Source organism: Homo sapiens, chromosome 7, assembly GCF_000001405.40.
Source record: "Homo sapiens chromosome 7, GRCh38.p14 Primary Assembly".
Classification (NCBI taxonomy): domain Eukaryota; kingdom Metazoa; phylum Chordata; class Mammalia; order Primates; family Hominidae; genus Homo; species Homo sapiens.
The window spans coordinates 117,636,127-117,656,880 of record NC_000007.14 but is presented as its reverse complement, the minus strand read 5'-3'; the positions used below and the strand labels follow the sequence as shown (position 1 = coordinate 117,656,880).

Here is a 20,754-nt window from a genome sequence, read left to right as displayed (position 1 = left end):
GGCAGGGTCCACTGTGAAGGAAGGCAGAAAAGGGAAGAACATTTGGGATAAACAGAAATTGGGCTAAAAGGACCAAAAGCGCTAATAGTGGAATACAGTTGTTCTCTAAGAAGACCTTTGAGGCTCAACATTTTAGGTCCCCTGATCCTATTCTGCCACAATCCAGACCTTTGGACTTAAGTTTAATAAAACAAAATAATTTATGTTCCCTTTTCTTTAATATAATGCTTATTTTTTAAAATTATAAGTTTATAGCTAGAGTATTCTGTTAAAGAAACCCAGAATTTCGAGAATTTCTCCAGCTCTCCTCCCCATCAAATTCCTCTGTATAATGCTCTCAAGTATAATGAACCACCTGTTGGATAAACATAAGGTGTTATTTAGAAAATTTTATTCCATTTTAGTTAATATATTTCCTATATAATGTCCTAATGGCTTCAAAGGATGGCATATGCCTCATCTAGGTCATATGGCATTTTGCCCGGCAGTGCTCACAGCCACATACCCAAAGGCAGACGATTCCTGGCGACTTCGAAAGAAAACTATTGTCATTTGCAGGTGTTCTAGAATGAGCATCACTGTTTTATGCTAAACCTGTTTCCCAGAGAAGTATATCAAGTCAAACCAAAGCCTCCTTCTTGTAGTGGAGAGCTTCAGAACTCAGATAGGGAGTAGATGAGAAGGTGTGGAGAGATGATAATTTATACTGGGAATAATCCCAGTATAGTGGAGTCGCCTAGGTCTCTTCTAATTCATGTTTCATTGACGCAAATTGATTAGGAAAGGACAAAGTAGTGCTACCTATAGGGTTTGCTATAAACTGAAAGCTTCTGTCCCCCTGCCAAAGTCATATGTTGAAATCCTAACTTCAAAGATGCTGGTATTAGGAGGTGGGGCCTTTGGGAGGTGATTTAGGTCATGAGGGCTCTACCCTAAACCCATGATTTGGATTACTGCCCTTATAAAAGACATCCCAGAGAGCTAGCCTGCCCACTCTTCTGCCATGTAACAACACAGTGAGAACACAGCCATCTGTGAGGAAGAAGGCCTTCACCAGACACAAAATCTGCTGGCACCAGATTTTGAACTTCCCAGCCTCCACAACTGTGAAAAATAAATTTTACTGTTGTTTATAAGACATCGTGTAGTAGCCCCAATGGACTAAGACAGAATATTGGTACTGGGATCTGGGTACTGCTGTAACAAATACTCAATGTGGAAGCAGCTTTGGAACAAGGTAATGAGTAGAGGCTGGAAGAGTTTTCAGGTACATGCTAGAAAAAGCCTACATTGCTGTGAATGGACAATTAAAGGCCATTCTGGTGAGGGCTCCAGAGAGGAGGAGAGCTATAGAGAAAGCTACTATCTTCTTACCGAATACCTAAGTGGTCATGAGCAGAATGTTCCCAGAAATATGGACGGTAAAGGCCAATCTGATGGGTTTTCAGATGGAAATGAGGAACATGTTATTGGACAATGGAGGAAAAGCTATCCTTCTTATAAAATGTCAAAGAACTTGGCTGAGCTGTTTGTGTCCTAGTGTTTTGTGGAAGGCAGAACTTGAAAGCAATGAAATTGAATGTTTGACTGAGGAAATATCCAAGCAAAGTTGAAGGAGCAGCTTAGTTACTCTTGACTGCTCATAGTAAAATTCAAGATGAGAAATGACTTTAAAATGGAATTATTGATCAAAAGGGAAGCAGAACTTCAAAATTTGGAAAATTCTCAGCCTATCCATATTGTGAAAGATGAGAAAGCCTGCTCAGGAGAGAATACAAAGGGTGTGGCCAAATTTGATAAGTAAATTACTATGGACTAGCCATCTCAACAGAAACTAGGTGCTATGCATTCAGACAGTGGGGATATTAGTCAGCCACCTAAACAGAAGCCAGAATTTATAGTCCAAGACAATGGAAGAATGACTCCAAAGCCATTTGGAGATCTTCCAAGCTGCCTTTCCCATCATAGTTCAGAGTGCAGAGGCCTGGGGTAGGGAAGAAAGATTTCAAAGGAGGGGCTACAACTGCCCCGTGCCACCTCACATTGCAGACTTCACATTGCCACCTCACACTGCAGTCTTTGCTCCTGTATTAGCACATTTTCACATTGCTGTAAAGAGACTGGGTAATTTATAAAGAAAAGAGGTTTAATTGACTCACAGTTCCACATGGCTGGGAAGGCCTCAGGAAACTTACAATCATGGCGGAAGGGAAAGAGTTATGTCTTACATGGTGACAGGCAAGAAAGAGGGTGCAAGAGCAGGGAAAACTGCCTTATGAAACCATTGGATCTCGTGAGAACTCACTCACTATCACATGAACAGCATGGGAAAACCATGCCCATGATCCAGTCACCTCTCACCAGGTCCCTCCCTCAACACATGGAGATTATGGAAATTATAATTCAAGACAAGATTTGGGTGGGGACACACCCAAACCATATCAGCTCCCCATACTCCATTGCCATACATCTCCACCACCCTAGGTATAGCTCTAGCAGACCCCAGCACTCATGCACTACACTCAGCACAACTGTAGGGGGATGGCTGCCTCCACCTAGATTTCAAGAACCCAGGGAGTCACAGGGCCCAGGTAGAGGCCCAGGGGTGAGGTCACCACATAGAGCCCACATTAGGGCAATGCCCAGTGGAGCTATGAAGGCTGGGCCACCTATGCAATCCCAGACCAGTAGAACCACCAGGCATGCAATTGCACACTCAGGGAGCCATAGGTGTGGGATTGGAGCACAGACCTGCCACAAAGAATGAGACACTCAAATCCATGAGGATAGAGCCTCCACCCCAGTGTGTCCAGAGGTAAGACACCACCCCAGTGAGCCTGGAGGCAAAGCAAAGCAAATTATTCTCAAGCCTTAAAGTTTTAGACTTATAGAGACCTGTCACTCCTTTTTTCTTTTCTATTTCTCTTTTTTGAAATGGGACTGTCTAGCCTGTGCCTGTTTCACCATTTTATTTTGAAAGTACATAATAGGTTTGATTTCACAATTTCATAGTTGGAGAGCAATCTGCCTAAAGAGGAATCACACCTTAAGTCCCACTCTACCTGATTTAGCTGTTTGTGCTGATTTAGCTGATATTTAGATGAAACCTTGGACTTTAGCCTTGTAAGTTGATGCTGGAACAAGTTAAGACTTTGGGGGCTATTGGGATGGAATGAATGTATTTTGCATGTGAAGAAGACATGAACTTTGGAGGTCAGGAGTGAAATGCTATGGTCTAAATATTTGTGTCCCCCCCGCCACCTCCTCAAATTCATATGTTAAAATCCTAACCCCCAAGGTGATAGTATTAGAATGTAGGACATGTGGGAGGTGATTAGGTCATGAGAACAAAGCCCTCATGATGGGATTAGTGCCATTGTAAAAGAGACACCAGAGAGGTCTTGCCCTTTCCATTATGTGAGGACACAGCAAGAAAGCACCATCAATGAACCAGGAAGTATGCTCTCACGAGACAGCAAACCTGCTGGCACCTTGATCTTTGACTTCTCAGCCTCCAAAGATTGCTTATAAGCAGCTCAGTCTTTGGTATTTTATTTTAGCAGCCTAAATGGACCAAGATAGGGCCTGATGGTTGGAGCCATACCAGTGAGGAGAGAAGTAGGCTCAGTCAAAAGTACTTGTCGCGCCAGGTATTTTAGGGTACTCCATTTTGAAGTTGTGCACAGAAATACATGCACACAAAGTGTGTAGAATGATCTTAGCCATATCAACCATTTGTGTTGGTATGAGTTACCTCTTTCAAAATCATTTCAGTTAGGGGTAGGTCCAGTCAAAAGTACCTGTTGCTCCAGGTATGTTAGGGTACTCCATTTTAAAGTTGTGCACACACATACATGCACACAAAGTGTGTAGAATGATGTCAGCTATATCAGCCATTTGTGTTGGTATGAGTTACCCCTTTCAAAATCATTTCAGTTAGCAGCCTTACCTCATCTGCAACTTTCCATATTTCTTGATCACTCCACTGTTCATAGGGATCCAAGTTTTTTCTAAATGTTCCAGAAAAAATAAATACTTTCTATAGCAAAAAAGAAAAGAAGAAGAAAGTATGAATAACTTAAATAACTTTTTATTTTTCCCTTATTGTATTGTAAAATATTTCAAGTAGAAAAATTATTTTAAAATAAGAAACACCCATGTACTTACCATCAAGTTCTCTCAAATTTTAATATTTTATCATGTCTGCTTTGTATCATTCTTTTAAGAAACAAATACTACAGCAATATTTGGAGTCCCTTGTGAACATTTTTCTAATCCCAATGTCTTTAGAATAAAGAAATTGAGATAATTGTTAATTGTAGAATATTAAAAAATTTTATTCCTAGCAATATTCCTTATTATAAGCAAATGTAATATAAAATTAAAAGGTAAAAAAACCCAATAAGTTTATGAGTTATAATTAACCTGTTAGAACAAATTCCTAGTTTGTTAATGTATTTCCTTGGATTTCTCTGATAAGCCTAGCTTCCTAAGGGATTTTAAAATTTCTTTAACTTATGCTTATTCAAATACACATTTATCTCATCTATAAACCAAGGCACAACTCTACTTATCTGATCAGACAGGCACAAGAGAGAGCCTCAACTTAGAAATCAGTGGAAGAGCAGAAGTCAAATAATTGTTTAACTGAATGTATGTTCCTGGTAAGGAATAAAATGACAATCTAATTCCCTGCATGGAGCATTGCACAGCTGTTACCCTGAAACATCTACTTACCAGATCACCGTCTACTTAATTCTGCCTATATTATTTAAAAATGTCTTAAAAGAAAATCACTGTCTCATTGGGGAATGCCGGTGCAATAGCAATAATAATACTTAGTTCTCTGTGCCTGGGGTGAATTGAAAATAATATTTTTGATATTAACATTTAGAATATTTTTTTTACCCTTTTTTTCTTTTGCCTTTGGTTAATAACATCCACTAAGGGGAATTAAGAATGAAATTTCTTGAAGTGTAGTTTTTACCAATTGCCTTGAAATGAGAATATTTAGTGGCCATCTGGTCCACAAGGAACCACACAAGTCAAGTCAATTCCCAATTAATGGTGTCTGTGTCTCTCAGGCAGATGGAGAGTATCCTCAGCAAGGCAGCCAAGTTTACTGAGGATCATGTTAGAAATTTCATACCCCGGGGCATAACTGATGACTTAAAGAAAAAGTTGTTGTCAAATGTCTCAGAAACTCTCTAGAGAGGTCAGCTAGGACCTCCATGCTGATATTTCTCAACCTACATAAAAATCACCTTCCTGAAAGGTACCTACATTGCTTTACAGAGGGAATATAAGAGATGAGTATATGACTCATAGGATCATAAGATATGTGAGGGATATGTTTGTGTATCCACTTCCAAACTTCTATGTAAATAAAAGTAATTTCTGAATAAACTGAAGAGAGTAGACAAAGGTCATTATTGGAGAATTCTGAAAAACTAAAGAGAATTAAACAAGAAGCAGTGCTGAGAACTTGAGTCAGTTCATTATTTAAGCAATTGGATTTATTTAGTATATAAAGTTAAAAAGCCTTGCCAATAGAATTTTTCCATTTGCTTTTTTTATATATTTTTCATTTTATATTGTGGTTCTTTAAATAAAAGGTTTCTAGCATTATTGAGAAGAACAGGAAATGATAATTGTAAGGGTTAACCAAGTATCAAACAATATATTACCTGCTACAGAACAGTTATCTCCTCCAAAAGGGTGGGACACATAGCTCCCATTTATGGCAGACTTATCATGAACCATGTCCTGGGACAGGCTCATTCTATATGTTACCTCTTTCAATCTTCATGTCAACCTCATGAGGTAAATCCTATTACGTACATGAAGAAACAGCAGGTTGGAGAAGGTAAGTGACTTGTCCAAGGTCACTTAGCTAGGAGATAGTAGGAGCTGGAATTCAAACACAGGAGTGTTTGTCTCTAAACCCGTGCTCCTCATCACCACAGCAAAATGGCTCAAATCCTTTGTGGACCATTTTTTCCTTCCTATTTAAAGCTCAGGAAAGATTAAAGGTTGGGCAGCAGCAGCCAAATGGGTACATAAAGAGCCCATCAGTACTCAGCAGCATATTCTTTATTTAAACAATTATCCATCCCTCTAGCCACAGGCTCAGTTCCTGGAGAGATTAGCTTCCTCTTCCTATGCAGGACCTGAGTTGAAGCATTTCATATGGGCTACAGCCTCATTATAACTTTCAAGGAGACTCACACATCCAATGGAAGCACACAATTTGAAACGGAATAATGGCATTATCATGGAGGACTGCGGGAGGATGGTAGGGGGAAGGCCAAAGATGTTACGGCATCAACACTGACACAGAGTTATGAAAGGCAATGTGGCTTGCAAAGATGTTGTAGTAATGCAGTTCTGGCCTGGAAGGTATGTCTACAAACAGGAATCCAGCCTCTTTGTTCTTCCATGTTTTATGAAATGGGGAAATGCTACCTTTCTTCTCAAAGCTACTCTACCCCTAGGCTTTCCCATCTCAGTGTATGGTACCTTCATTTCTTCAATCCAGAAACTTGGGAGTCATTCATGACTTATCTTTCTCCCTGATCTTCCCAAATAAAATTAATTATCAGTCCTATCTGGAGCAGGGCAAGAGCCTCCTAATTGATTTCTTCCCTTTCACTCTTGCATCTCTACCCATCCATTCGCATTCAGCAATCAAAGCAATTCACTACAACAGAAATTAGAACATTTCATTGACCTTTTAACAAACCTTCAAAGGTTTTCCACTACACTCAGGCCTTTAAGATGGCCTACACGACCCTACATGGTTTAGCCCCTCCTACTTCTCTGACTCATTTAGTGCCCTTCTCCATTCTCTTCTCTTTCTTCCTGCCACCACACTAGCTTTCTTTCACTCCCTCAGCTTCTTCACACATTGGATTCCTATTGCTTGGGAATCTCATTCCCTACCTTCTTCCCATGGCCAACTGCTTTCTTTAGGTTTCAAATTAAATATCACTTCCTCAGGGGTATCTTTCCTGATCCTCAATACCAAATAAAATCTCCCAACATATGGTCTCATAATACTCACACTCTGCTTTCATAGCTTACAATGAGTATTAAGATTATATGTGCATTTGTGAGCATTTTGTTTTTAACATCCATATCTCCTACTAGGCCATAACTGCTGCATACCCTGTCCTTAGCAAAAGCTGTGTTCATAATATATGCTCAATAAATTCTTCCTGAATAAATAAATGGACTGATATGAAAATAGGAAGTAAAATACAAAAACATCAAACTCAGAGTTCAGCACATGTTGTTTTTCTTCCTTCTGAAAGAACAGCTATTACAACCTAGTATTTTGTTTTGGCTCAGGAAAAAAAAAATATATATATATATATATATATACACACACACACACTATATATATATGTACAGATATATGCATGTATGTATATGTACATATGTATGTAGGTATATATACATATGTATATATACACACAGATATATGTGTGTATATATAGATATACATGTATATATATATCTAGATGTGTGTAGATATATATATCTCTACTGCCATATATATATACACACACACATATACACACACACACACACACACACACATCCCATGTATAATTCTATTAAAATGTGGCCAAATATTTATCAGTATCACAATCTTTAAAGAAATAATACTAACAACCCATTAAAATTTTGATCGTTCTTTATAATTGCTTGGGAAATGGTGGGTCTTTTACTCATAATACTATAGTCTAATAGTTTATATAAAATATCTATCAAAGTATATTGATATATATTAAATTTAGCTAAAATAGATACACATATATTCAACATTATGAAGAAAGAAAGCTGTTGGTTGAAATTAGACATCCCAAAGTTTTAAGTGTGGTGAATTTGATACCATTCAGAAATTCTGTAGGTCTTTTGTCTACAGTTTACTGTCTAGTGTTAGATACTGAAGTAAGCACTCTAATTGAAAAAAAAAATTTAACTGAACAAACTGGTTCAGTTAGAATTCAATTTCATACAATTAGGTATTTCATTCCTGTATTACAAATAGTACCTGGCACTCTCTTGCTTCCAGGGGTGCCAGTGGGTGTCTTAGTTCTGTTTTCTAAACTGTTTGAACTTTCCACAAACTCATCTCCAAATTTGAAAGGTCTTTGGAGGTCACCCAAGTCCTTTTCTCTGGTTTACAAATGAAACAGTCAAGGCCCTGAGAAGTTACGTGGTTTGCCCTACGTGGTACACTCGGACTGACTGTGCAGCAAAAATATACCTGAAACTATCAATCACACAATGGCCCTTTATCTCTCTTTTAAGAAACTTCACCAATAGGAAAGTTAGGATGTGCAAATATCTGATATTTATTTAATGCCATATATGTCATAAAGAGCACTTCTTGAGACCCAGAGAAAAATAAGAGCACCATTACTCACCCGGTGACAAACCTTTTTGCTACAGCTTGACTCCTCAACTCAACTCAGTGGCAACACGTGAGGCTATATTGAGTTCTCAGGGTTGCTCATGTATATTTCACTGCAACAGGCATTATGCTTTAGCATTGGATGTCAAACAAAAAACAATAAAGCAGTTTGGCTGGTGTGGTGACTGGATGTAATATAAATTACATAAGTGGGAAGTGTGACTGTTTTTCTTTAAGCATACAGTGCTGTTTGGCTTTGTCTCAGAAGGGAAATATATATATTTGTGTGTGTGTGTGTGCGTGTATATATGCACACACTCACACAGTAGGTAGGTAAATAATGTGTACATACATATACACATATATATATAAATACATATATATATATACATATATACATATATATAAATAATGTGTGTGTGTATATATATATACACACACACACACACACACACTCCGTGTATAGTTCTATCAAAATGTGGCCCAAATGCTTATAAATATCACAGTGGTTTGGACGTCCCTTTTTGACAATGTCTGCAACATTTTCTTATAAATTCAATCTGTATAATAAAAATCTGTTCAATGTGAACAAATCAAGATCCTAAGTTTATGGTAGAGAATGTTTAAAAATAAGTATTGGCCAGGCACTGTTACTCATGTCTGAATTCCCAGTGCTTTGGGAGGCCAAGGTGGGAGGATCACTTGAGGCCAGGAGTTTAAGACCAGCCTGTAGAACATAGTAAGACCATGTCTTAAAAAAAAAATTTTTTTTTTTTTTTGGTATTAGCTGGTGGTATGGTTTGGATCTGTGTCTCTGCCCAAATCTCATGTTGAATTGTAATTCCCAGTGTTGGAGGCGGGGCCTGGTGGGAGGTAACTGGATCATGGGGGTGGATTTCTCATGAACGGTATAGCACCATCCTCTTGGCGCTGTTCTCATGAGATCTGCTCATTTCAAAGTGTGTGGCACCTCCTCCCTCACTTTGTCTTGCTCCTGATTCGTCGTGTAACATGCCTGCTTCTTATTTGCCTTCCACCATGATTGAAAACTTCCTGAGGCCTCCTCAGAAGCAGATGCTGCTATGCTTCCCGTACAGCCTGAAGAACCGTGAGCCAGTTACATTTATTTTCTTTATAAATTACCCAGTTTCCGGTATTTCTTTATAGCAATGAAAGGATGGACTAATACAGCTGGGCATGGTAGTGTGGGCCTGTAATCCACCTACCCAAGAGACTGAGGTGGGAGGATCACTGGAGCCCTGGAGTTCAAGGTAACACACTCAAGTCTAGGTGACAGTGCAAGACTCTGTCTCCAAAAAAGTGTTGCTTTGTTTTCAAGAATATCTATTAGTTAGAACAAAGTAGCTATAATTAGATGAATAAAATATTCCTCAGTCAAAAATATTTAAGGTTTGTAACAAATAGAGAATAATTTTGTAATATTTACATATATTTGCATATAAATGATTGCATGTAAAATATCCAAATTATTGTTTCCTCTAAAATTACTTAATGCTTTACAACCTTTTTATACTACAACTTTTTAGTGTATACATTTTCAGAGATAGCATAAAAGAAAATACTTCCCTGGTCTGACCAAATAATCAAAAATTTCACATTTTTAGGCTCAGAAATAATAAAATTGCATTGTACCTACTTCCATACCAATTATTTTTCTCTCCTCCCTTAAGTTCAGCACTCCACCCCTACTGTCCTTATATTACTCCAGACTCATCACTTCATAGCTGGAGAGTTTCCTAGCTCATGTCCCTGCCTCTCCTGCCACCTACACCCCATGCCATCAGCAGCAGCAGTGTCCTCCACCACCCTTTCACCAGCCTCTTCCTCACTCAAAAAGGCCCAACCCATTCCTCGTGAAGCCATGTTGGCACTTGTCAAGTATTAACTTCTTTTTCCTAATACTCCCTAACTTGTGGCCTCCTCTGACCTTTTGCCCCTCAGCTTTTTCTAGTTCTCATCTTAGTACTCATCCATAATCTCCCTGTCTGGCATCCTGGAATACCCTCTCCACATCCTCATGCCCCCACATTTCTAAAATCTACAAGCTTTATGACCCTTTATGAACCGCCTTAATTATCACTTTCTTTGTGAAACTATATTCTTTTGTTCACTTCTATGGTATATACCTCCAATATTATACTAAGATGGGGACATTATTTCTTTTGCTCAAGGAACTATAAAAAATAATAACAACCACCACAGCACAGCATATTGTACTTACTATGTGCCAGGGAGGAGTACTAGTTATTAACTCATTTAATCCTCACAAAAACACAATGAATTAGTTACTACCATTATACTCATTTTACAGACAAGAAAACAGAGGCACAGAGAAATCAAATAACTTGCCTAAGATTACACAGACTAAAATCCAGATACTGATGGAACCACAATCTCTTGTTACAGAAATCAAGCATTTAGTGATTCAGCACAAAACAATGTACATTGAATTCTTATCAAGCAAGTTATTGTGTTATGCACTCTATAAGGGACAGAAAACTTAGTAAGAAAAAATCTGTTTTATCTAGCATTTCTATTACATTCTTTATCTAGCCTGCTTTAATTGGTGATGATTTTGTGTTTAAACCTTGCTTTCTTAACTAGGATACCTGCAAGTATTTACAATGCTAAGTGGAAATTAAACAAATACAAGGATTACTCTAAGATAAGATATATTAGAAGTGCCAGGTTTATAAACAAGGCTCCAAATCCCATGTGGGACTGGAATGTGGGGGTGGAATGTTGGGATTAGTCAAAAACCCCAAATTCACACAATGTTAATGTTGCTTTGAAAAGTCTAATTTGTATGACTCATATAATGGAGGGATGCAAGGGAAAAGATGAGGAAGGCACTGCAGTAGAAGTAGAAAAAAAGGAAGGATGACTGATGTGGGGGAGTAGCAACAACAGGGCTTGGGAGCTGGCCTTTCATAATTACCCACATCACACTCCCTAACTGGCCCATGCCTTGAACCATGACTATATTTAATCACCTATATTTAATTTATCATTTTGGTTAAATCCTTTCTTCCTTTGATCTCTGACTTATGACAATGAGTGTAATTTTGAACTTTTCATTTGAAGCTCATAGGTTGGATTGGGACCTCACTGTGACAGATCAAGGACAAGTGCTATGTATATCTTTTATGTAACCACAGAAGTTATCATACTTATAATGTTAAGCATGTAGGAGTTTAATAATTAATTATTAAGTTGTTAATTATTATAAAATGAGTGAGAACTGCTACACTGCTGAATCATCATTCAAATCTACAAACACTTGTTTTGGTCGCATTTGATATCTCCCAGAGCAAAAGATGCCCCATCTTTGAGGTGGGAGTTATGTGTGGACATAGATTCTTTTCAGATCATAAAGACTCGTTGCAAGAATAGGCCTAATCATTTCCTCAGAATAGTTTGTCACCTTTCAAACTTGTAACTGAAGATTTAGACATACATTTAAAAATATTTTTTCTGTTTTTTATGAATTATGTGCTTAACACAATTCAAGGCTAATAAACCATTTTAGATCTTGTTGTTCTAATTGCCTAAACCAATGGGGCTCTCATGATTAGCCTCATTGTCTCCTCTTCATGACCTCACAGCTCACAGGTAACACAGAACAAATTAAAGGAGGCTCCACCTTGAAATTTACACAATAGTCTTCCAAGCTGGCAGATTCTCCAAGATTGCTGTCTAGCTACAGGAGGGAAGAACATTAATAAAACAAAACAAAACACCTGCAAGGACCTGCCAAAACTAATGACGTGTTGTGATTCCACAGCTGATGTCTCAGGATCACTATGAGAAAAAGAGGGGAAATTTCTTGTTCAAAGTTCCTGTTTCATATGTCTGAAAACAAATGATCCATTGATACAGAGATCTCTAATGTCTCAGTGTCAGAGATCTTCAGAACTATGCCCTTGCAAAGTCTCGGAGTTGGAAGGAAGAAAAAAACAGAAAAGCAAACAAACATAATTTTCTTTGGATTTTTAATTCCTTCTTCCTTTTTTTTTTCTTTTTAAACTTTAGGACAGGATAAAATTACTTAATTTGAACTTTCAAAGAAAAGTTAGGAAAATAAAAGCGTCTCTTGGTTTCGACATCAAAAATGTATGAGAAGTTTGCCCTCTTTTGCTCTTTCTTGGACATTCACATAATGTTCAAAATTTGTCACAAAGAAGAAATAGCATATTCTGTTTACAGACATCTTTGTGATACTGAGAGCCAGCCCCAGAAACCAGCATCATAAACACATATATGAAAAGCATCGATATCAAGATCATCCAGCATTTCTGAAGGAATCTCTGAACGTATTTTTTTTGTTTGGTTTATATAATGCTAGAAACCATAGAAGAGTGGAAATGAAAAAAAAAAGACAAACTTGGGAGACTCACTTTGGCAGAAAGAAAAGATAAAGAATTTTCAAAACTCTGGCCCACTTGGTTTTCCTCCATGTCTTGCATATATACGTTCCTACGTCAAACATGCAATAAAACAAAACCTCTCTACTACATAGTAGATAAACTAAAGGATTCCCAGTGAAACTGAAATTAATTTTTAGGGCTTGGCTTATTCTAATGGGCAGATTTGTGTGAACAAGAACAATAAAAACCAAAAAATTCACCATTTTTCATTAAAAATGGGACCACAAGACTTAGGTTCTACTGAATAACAACACTTCTCTATCAACCAGTTCTTTTTCGCTTTTCAACATTTTTATCTTGCCTAATGCTATCACCTTGGGATACTTGTATTTCCAGTGTTTCTTTATTTTTAGATCATCTGACAATCCCTTTTTTCTTTCTGAAGAAACAATACTGTTTTCAAAACTCCAACCAGGATAAAGCTTCTGGCAACATGACAAAGTCTAGACAAATAAATTAAAAGCACCAGTTGAGCAGTTACAATATTTAGTGCCTCATTAGTTGAAAGGAGCAAATGTTCCACAAGGTAATCTGTTAAGAAATACAAGCTTTTTTTTCAGTCTAGATTTATAGTCAGTCTACCTGGAGGTGCTCCTGGCATTTTAATTTTGTGTAAAAAGTAGAGTAGTATTAGCAAGAACTATGGTAGTGGAATGGATTCAGTGTCCATTAGCACAAAGGGAGAAAAGTGATCATTAAATGTGAATATACCCGGAAAGACTAGAGAAAATACCAGCAAAAATACAGTAAATGCTGTCCAGATTTGGTCCCAGTAAAGACATTTCTTGGTTTCCATTTATATCACTTTAAACTGGAACTGTTGCTATTTCTCTCATATACAAGAAGTGCTCTTACACAGTAACACATTCTAATTCGTAGAATGATACTAAGGCAATGAGACTAGAGATCCTTTGTGACCAAATCAGAGTGACATTAAAAAAAAATAGTTACAGACTAATCTGACATTGTTCATCCCATCCAAATAACAAAAAACAATCACTACACTTTCTATTTTCAATTCCACTACCTCATGATTCCAAGTGTTTGTTATTTCAGGAGCATCTGTTATGTCTCGCAAAGCATTTCTCAACCTGGCGATTGCTAACTTGGAGGTCAGGCCACTGAAGCAGGAACAAAAAAGAGCTGTTAAAAAACAAAAGCCCAAGGCTCCCACTGTAAATTTGGTCTTCTGAAAAACACTATCAAAGCTATGAACATTTCAATAACCAGAATTTGAGAATTCCAAACTTTTAGAGACATCTTTTCTGCCTATGAGAAAACTGCACTGGAGAAAAAAGACAGCAATGCATAACAAATATATTTTGCAGAGTAATATGAATTTCTTGAGTACAAGTATCAAATAGCAGTAAAAAATATAATTTAGTTGCCTTTTTTCTGGCTAAGTCCTTTTGCTCACCTGTGGTATCACTCCAAAGGCTTTCCTCCACTGTTGCAAAGTTATTGAATCCCAAGACACACCATCGATCTGGATTTCTCCTTCAGTGTTCAGTAGTCTCAAAAAAGCTGATAACAAAGTACTCTTCCCTGATCCAGTTCTTCCCAAGAGGCCCACCTATAAGGTAAAAGTGATGGGATCACTTCTGTGACATATAGGTACCATGCCATAAACATAATTCAGTATTGTACTTCAATAAAAACCATTGGAATATTTTATCCTGTCACCAGTGGAAGATTTTCACTTATTCATTCAAACCTTGTTGCACACTTTCAATCCTGACCAATGTTGATATATGGAGACAAACAACCTTGGAACAGAATAGAGAAACTGGCCATAAGGAATTGGACCCCTGATGCAGACTTCCTTTATCACTGACCTTTACTAATGACAAAAAGATTGAAAATGCCCATTTTGCATAAAGGAAAAGCAAAGAGTGTCTTCATGCACATCATCTCTAAACATAGGCTCAAGCCAGAAGCAGAGACCTGCAATTTGATCTAGTACCCAAAGTGGATACGACTTAAAAATTAATCTGAAATAGTTCTAATATTTAGATGTTGACCCTAATAAATTAATTTGGTGAAGTTCAAGCCTGGCAATAAACAATGATATGTTCAGGCAGCAGTATATTCCCAGAGAAGGCAGGTTGGGCGAAGGCCTTACCACTCCTCAGTGAATGAGTACTTTGGACAGTTGTCAAATCACATTCTGACATTCACCTGGATTGGCGAGAAGGGAATTTCAGAAAGCAAAATGTATAGTAAGGAAAAGAAAGAAAATTATTCTTGTTACCTAAAGACCATAAGAACATAGCATAGACGTGAGAGCACCATGCACTGCATGAGGAGATCAAGTGCTAGAGGTGACCCACAGAGAGCCCCAACTCTGTGTTCTGATGTCAGCTTAGATGCCAGAACTTGAGGAGGGTGCTTTGAGCAAGGTAGAACACTACTGCAGTCATTAACTGACCACTGAAAAAACTGGCTGACAGTTAGTGGCACTGAATAAATGGTTGTTTCCTTCTCCTTACATAATTTGTTTTTAAGTCATTTGGCCTTTATATACTATAACTGAGCAAATGGTCTTTTAGTATAATGCTTTTCAATCTGTAGTGAAGGACAGTTTTGTTTTCTTTTTAAATTTCTAATTCACTACATATCAATACTTCAAAAATATATAATAAAAATGAACTTCTAAATATTCACTCTCAATTTCTATACTATGTCATCATAGAAAAGTAAGTTTGTAAACCAGAACCAGTGAAGGGACCACAATAAATGTTTTAGAGTACATAACAACCCTTAATAAGAATAATTTATTGAACACTATTTGCAATCTGGTAATAAACTAGGTCTTTGGGATAAGCTGATAAGCAATAATGACACAGTTGACCCCCTATCCATCGTAAGAACTCTACAATGAGATTTTCACAAATGTTTGTTCTCAGACAACTGAGAAAATCAGATCAATCAAATGTTAAGTACAATACTCTGTTGAATTTCTTCATATTATTAATCACAATCAGTACTTTTTTTATTTTTTCTTGATTATTGCTTTTGTTTGTACCAAAAATATAAGTTCAACAAGGACAGGGGAGTCTATCTTGTTTTGCATTGAATTCTTAGCACCTGGCTTACCCAAAGTGCCCCATAAATATTTATTTGAATTGACTAAGGGATAGCCAGATGGAAGAATGGATGGATTTATGAGCAGATGAATGAACTTATGTAATTTAGCTGATCTAACAAATAATGGATTTAATCAATTTTGTTCAATTGCTAGATAAACTCCTAATTTTAAAATATTGTGGAATTTCAATGCACATTTTCATTTATGAATCAGCTCATGTTGCACAAACACATTCATCATGTGTCATGATTTTTCTAACACAATAGTAAAGTGTTGTATAAGCAACTTGAATATGCCCAGTGCAGGTGAGGTACAGGGGAATAAAAGAAAGGAAAGTTCAACAGGTGAAAGTAATTTGCTATAAGGTCATATCAAGAATTTTGGTAAGAAGTGCTTGAGGTCTAAATCCTTGTTATCATTAGTCAGATTTCTAATGAGGATTAGATAAATGTCCATGTTCCCTTTTCTTCAGAAAAAAATACTAAAATTTTTAGAGAACTCAGTTTTTAGGTTGGGAAAGACTGGATGAAGAGGCAATTTGTAAATCTTTGGTTTAGCTTTAAAGGTTTTAGCTATTACTCTGGTTTCCTTATATCATTGAACTGCTGGTAATGCATGATATCTGACACATTTTTCAAAGGCAAGGAATCACTGGTTTGTACCCAACAAAGTCTTCTTGTTTATATAACTGGCACATAATAATTAGTTTCCGGGATTTGTTTTTCCAGGCTTCTCAGTGATCTGTTGAATAAGGCTAGAGTACTTCCCGCAAATAAGCTTTTAAGACATACCCTAAATCTAAGTCAGTGTTTTCTAATAACTTCAATGCACCTCCTCCCTGAGAATGTTGGATCAAGATAAATCAAAATAATATGTTGAAAGTTAAACAGTGTTGAATTTGGTGCTAGCTGTAATTGCATTGTACCATGAATAGAACATTTCCTTTCAGGGTGTCTTACTCGCCATTTTAATACTGCAACAGATGGAAGACTCTTGTAATTATTTTTCATTACCTTGTGGTCTCCAGAAATCAAGATGACAAGTCAACTGAAATTTAGATCCACAAGGTGATTATAATTGAATCTTTTATGTGTTCATATATCTCTATTAATTATTAATGAAACATAGTATTGAGAATATGCTGCTTATACCCACTGAATGATTCAACTACTTTACACCAATGTTTATCAAGATAGAAAATGGGATATGTGTTTAACAAAGCAAACAAGTATTTAGGTGTTTGTGCTGATATGATTTGAATCCTTGATATTCTTATAAATTATTTCTGAAATTTCTGTATTTTCAAGAGACTACAAATGGAGAAAGCAGTTAAGTTCATCCAAAAGTATAGACCTTAAAGTACTATCAAATATCTATTTAATCAGAGGACTATCCAGTACTGTGATATATACAATATACCATATGAGGAATTTTGATTAAGTCCAGATTTATCATGAAGAATCTGACTCCAAATTAAGTTCCCAGTAGGCATTTTGAGAGGAAAAAGAAAAGACAAAAAGGATGAGATATTCTAGTTGTGGGAAGGTGCTCTGGCTATTACAATTTAGATAAAAAGTCAAAAGGTTTTAAGAAAAAACTATTTGAGATTAAAAAGAAAAATGGATTTTAAAAGTAAAGGTTGTGAAATAGCTGCTACATTTTTCATGCATTGAAAATAAAAACTTGTAAAGTATAGGTTCTTTAAATTAAAGGTCTCAGTTAAGAGCAAAGAAAGTAATACCACATCTTTTTCATAAAGTAATTGCTATGGACAAAGTGTTTTCACATGAAGACTGAATAATTTTTCTGCACAGAATATTTATTCTTTTCACCTCTTCACCATAACCAACAACATAGAAATCCATTAAAAATTAAACGAGATGCCCACTTAAGTCCTAAATTTCAACTGCTTTTTTCCCCCCCAAGAAGGGCAGCCTAAAGCTGAGCTGGCAGTGTTTTGGGATATCCAAAAATATTACTAGTATACTAAATTTGAGTTGACTTCTTAATTCAGCACATAAGAAGTATGTTTGGAGCATCTTGTGATAGTTTGCGAGATGCTGTTATAAGTTCTAAAGGCAAGGCAGTAGAATTTATATTCTTCAGAGACTGCTCAGAATAAAATTTTTGTTTTATTTTATTTTTTTATTTTTATTATTTATTTATTTATTTATTTATTTATTTATGAGATGGAGTTTTGCTCTTGTCACCCAGGCTGGAGTGCAGTGGCGCGATCTCAGCTCACTGCAACCTCCACCTCCCAGGTTCAAGTGATTCTCATGCCTTAGCTTCCCTAGTAGCTGGGATTACAGATGGCCACCACCATGCCCAGCTAATTTTTGTATTTTTTGCAGGCACAGGGTTTTACCATGTTGACCAGGCTGGTCTTGAACTCCTGACCCCAAGTGATCCGCCTGCCTTGGCCTCCCAAAGTGCTGGAATTACAGGCGTGAGCAGAACGACATTTTAAGAATCAATTCCTATTCTAAGGAAGCATATAACCTAGAAGTAGATATAAGCTATGCATTCACTTATTTAAAATGTGTTAAGATAGGTAACATGCTAAACAAAGGGATAAAAAAAATAAAAAAACAGGACTTCCAGATTCTGATCTGGTTTGTAGAAATTCTGAAAGTGGTTGGCTTCATCGTAACAAGTAAAAAGCAGAGCACACTGAAAAATAAACAACTTTTCTTAGATCTGTCAGAGAAGTGAGGTCACAGGGCAAACCACTGCCCCCCAAAATGGGAGACAGGCAGTTAGGTACAGAGAATCACAACTTACAAAACAGAAACCAATAAGCAGAAACCTCTGAGAGAACCAGTAGTAGGGTAGGAAAACCTAAACTGTAAGTGAAAAATTGCTGGAGATTCAGTGTGCATGATGTGAGAGCAAGAAAATTCCAAGTGGGTCCAAGTCACTGGCCGACTTCTATACTTTTATGAATTTTGCCTATAGGATGCTTACCAGGTTCTCACAGTGAAGATCAGAGAAAAAAAGGGAAAAGTAACCATTTTCAAATATGCCAGAGCATTCTTTTTTTTTTGAGACGGAGTCTTGCTCTGTCACCCAGACTAGACTGCAGTGGCACAATCTTGGGTCACTGTAACCTCCACTTACTGGGTTCAAGCAGTTCTCCTGCCTCAGCCTCCTGAGTAGCTGGGATTATAGGTGTGTGCCACCACACCTGGCTGATTTTTGTATTTTTAGTAGAGACGGGGTTTCACCATGTTGGCCAGGCTGGTCTCGAACTCCTGACCTCAGGTGATCCACCTGCCTTAGCCTCCCAAAGTGCGGGGATTACAGGCGTGAGCCACCGCACCTGGCCCCAGAGCATTCTATTCTTATAACAATGCCTGCCCTCAAAAGAGACTATTTTACCATGCCTAACCTATCAGGGTTTTTTCAGAGCCTAACTGACCTAGGGGAAGGGAAATACTCAACTCCCGCTCACACTAGTCACTATGTCCCACCAAAAGGGGTGAAAAAACACTTCACAAGTGCTTCCAAGCTGCAGGCGCACAGGCTCACTAAAAGACTAAAACCTAATCATAGGACTACAGAATACTTCCCTCACCCTCTGCTACACCTACCAGTACATTACTAAAGGCCTATTTACTACAGTTCCTTTTACCCAGCACATCATGTCCACCTTTCAATAAAAAATTACAAGGCTTACTAAAAGGCAAAAAAAAAAAAACACCATTTGAAAACACAGAGCAAGCATCAGAACCACAGTCAGATATGACAGGGATGTTGGAATTAACAGATCAGGAATTTAAAACAACTATGATTAACATGCTAAAGGCAGGGCATGGTGGCTCACACCTATAATCCCAGCAATTTGGGAGGCTAAGGTGGGCAGATCACTTGAGGTTAGGAGTTCAAGACCCGCCTGGCCAACATGATAAAACCCCATCTCTACTAAAAATACAAAAATTACTCAGGCATGGTGGCAGGCACCTGTAATCCCAGCTACTTGGGAGGCTGAGGAGGAGAATCACTTGAACCCAGGAGGCAGAGGTTGCAGTGAGCCAAGATCACACCACTGCACTCCAGCCTGGGCAACAGTGAGACTCCACCTCAAAAAGAAAAAAAAAAAAAGCTAAAGGTTTTCATGGAAAAAGTAGGCAACATGCAAGAACAGATGAAAAGCAGAAGAGAAATGGAGATTCAAAGATGGAATCAAAAGAAATTCTATAGGTCAAAAATTCTGTAATAAAAATGTAAAATGCCTTTGATGGACTCATTGGTAGACTGAACACAGCTGAAGAAAGAATCTCTGAGGTTGAGAATATGTCAATAGAAACTTCCAACACTGAAATGCGAAGGAAAAAAAAACTGAAAAAAACAGAATATCCAAAACAGCGGGATGACTACAAAAACTGTAACATACATGTAATGGGAATACCAGAAGGAGAATAAAGGAAAAAAAAGAACAGAAGAAATATTTGAAGCAATAATGACTGAGAATTTTTCCAAATTAGTGTCAGATACCATACCACATATCCAAGAAACTCAGAGAAAACCAAGCAGAATAATGCCAAAAAAAATCCGACACAAAGGCATATCATGTTCAAAAAGAAAGGCATATCATGTTCAAAAAGAAAGGCATATCATGTTCATAAAGAAAAAATCTTGATAGAAGCCAGAGGAAAAAACATCTTACCTATAGAAAGGCAAAGATAAGAATTATATCTAACTTCTCAGAAACAATGCAAGCAAGAAGGCAGTGGAATGAAATATTTAAGGGTTTGAGGGGAAGAAATCACCAATCTAGAGTTCTGTGCCCTGTG

The 20,754-nt window shown here is 37.3% G+C and overlaps 1 protein-coding gene and 1 long non-coding RNA gene across 2 annotated transcripts in view, besides 8 other annotated features; one reads left to right on the top strand and one right to left on the bottom strand.

Annotated features, from left to right (window-relative positions):
* Positions 1-20,754, bottom strand: part of CFTR (CF transmembrane conductance regulator) — a 188,641-nt gene that overhangs the window by 11,785 nt on the left and 156,102 nt on the right. Inside the window, exons 23-24 of the mRNA NM_000492.4 lie at positions 14,288-14,443; positions 3,950-4,039 (exon numbers count right to left, since the gene is read on the bottom strand). Of these exons, the coding sequence (NP_000483.3) occupies positions 3,950-4,039; positions 14,288-14,443 (246 nt within the window). The remainder of the gene's footprint in view (positions 1-3,949; positions 4,040-14,287; positions 14,444-20,754) is intronic.
* Positions 9,365-11,975: an enhancer, noted in NCBI's record as "Bg2.6 fragment used in the pGL3B-245/Bg2.6 reporter construct". NCBI's record gives its function as "activates a basal CFTR promoter in transfected Caco2 cells" and the evidence as "EXISTENCE:reporter gene assay evidence [ECO:0000049][PMID:11856314]".
* Positions 9,365-13,982: a biological region, named in NCBI's record as "CFTR intron 20 enhancer". NCBI's record gives its function as "regulatory_interactions: CFTR".
* The window catches only part of CFTR-AS2 (CFTR antisense RNA 2), a 42,625-nt gene continuing 31,336 nt past the window's right edge, over positions 9,466-20,754 (top strand). The window contains exon 1 of the long non-coding RNA NR_199597.1: positions 9,466-9,530. This is a non-coding gene — a long non-coding RNA (CFTR antisense RNA 2). The remainder of the gene's footprint in view (positions 9,531-20,754) is intronic.
* Positions 10,017-11,017: a DNaseI hypersensitive site, noted in NCBI's record as "DHS20 or 4005 + 4 kb DHS; the nucleotide coordinates are approximate for this feature". NCBI's record gives the evidence for it as "EXISTENCE:in vivo cleavage assay evidence [ECO:0001075][PMID:10708521, PMID:11856314]".
* Positions 10,304-10,342: a protein binding site, noted in NCBI's record as "20-FP4 HNF1-binding probe". NCBI's record gives the evidence for it as "EXISTENCE:protein binding evidence [ECO:0000024][PMID:14656222]".
* Positions 10,676-10,709: a protein binding site, noted in NCBI's record as "20-FP1 HNF1-binding probe". NCBI's record gives the evidence for it as "EXISTENCE:protein binding evidence [ECO:0000024][PMID:14656222]".
* Positions 11,111-11,407: a DNaseI hypersensitive site, noted in NCBI's record as "novel epididymis-specific DHS; the nucleotide coordinates are approximate for this feature". NCBI's record gives the evidence for it as "EXISTENCE:in vivo cleavage assay evidence [ECO:0001075][PMID:24006278]".
* Positions 13,150-13,982: a conserved region, noted in NCBI's record as "conserved_region; 4005 + 0.6 kb region conserved in human, cow and pig". NCBI's record gives the evidence for it as "COORDINATES:sequence alignment evidence [ECO:0000200][PMID:12782133]".
* Positions 16,086-16,986: a DNaseI hypersensitive site, noted in NCBI's record as "DHS19 or 3849 + 12.5 kb DHS observed in primary human tracheal epithelial cells; the nucleotide coordinates are approximate for this feature". NCBI's record gives the evidence for it as "EXISTENCE:in vivo cleavage assay evidence [ECO:0001075][PMID:19897727, PMID:21895967]".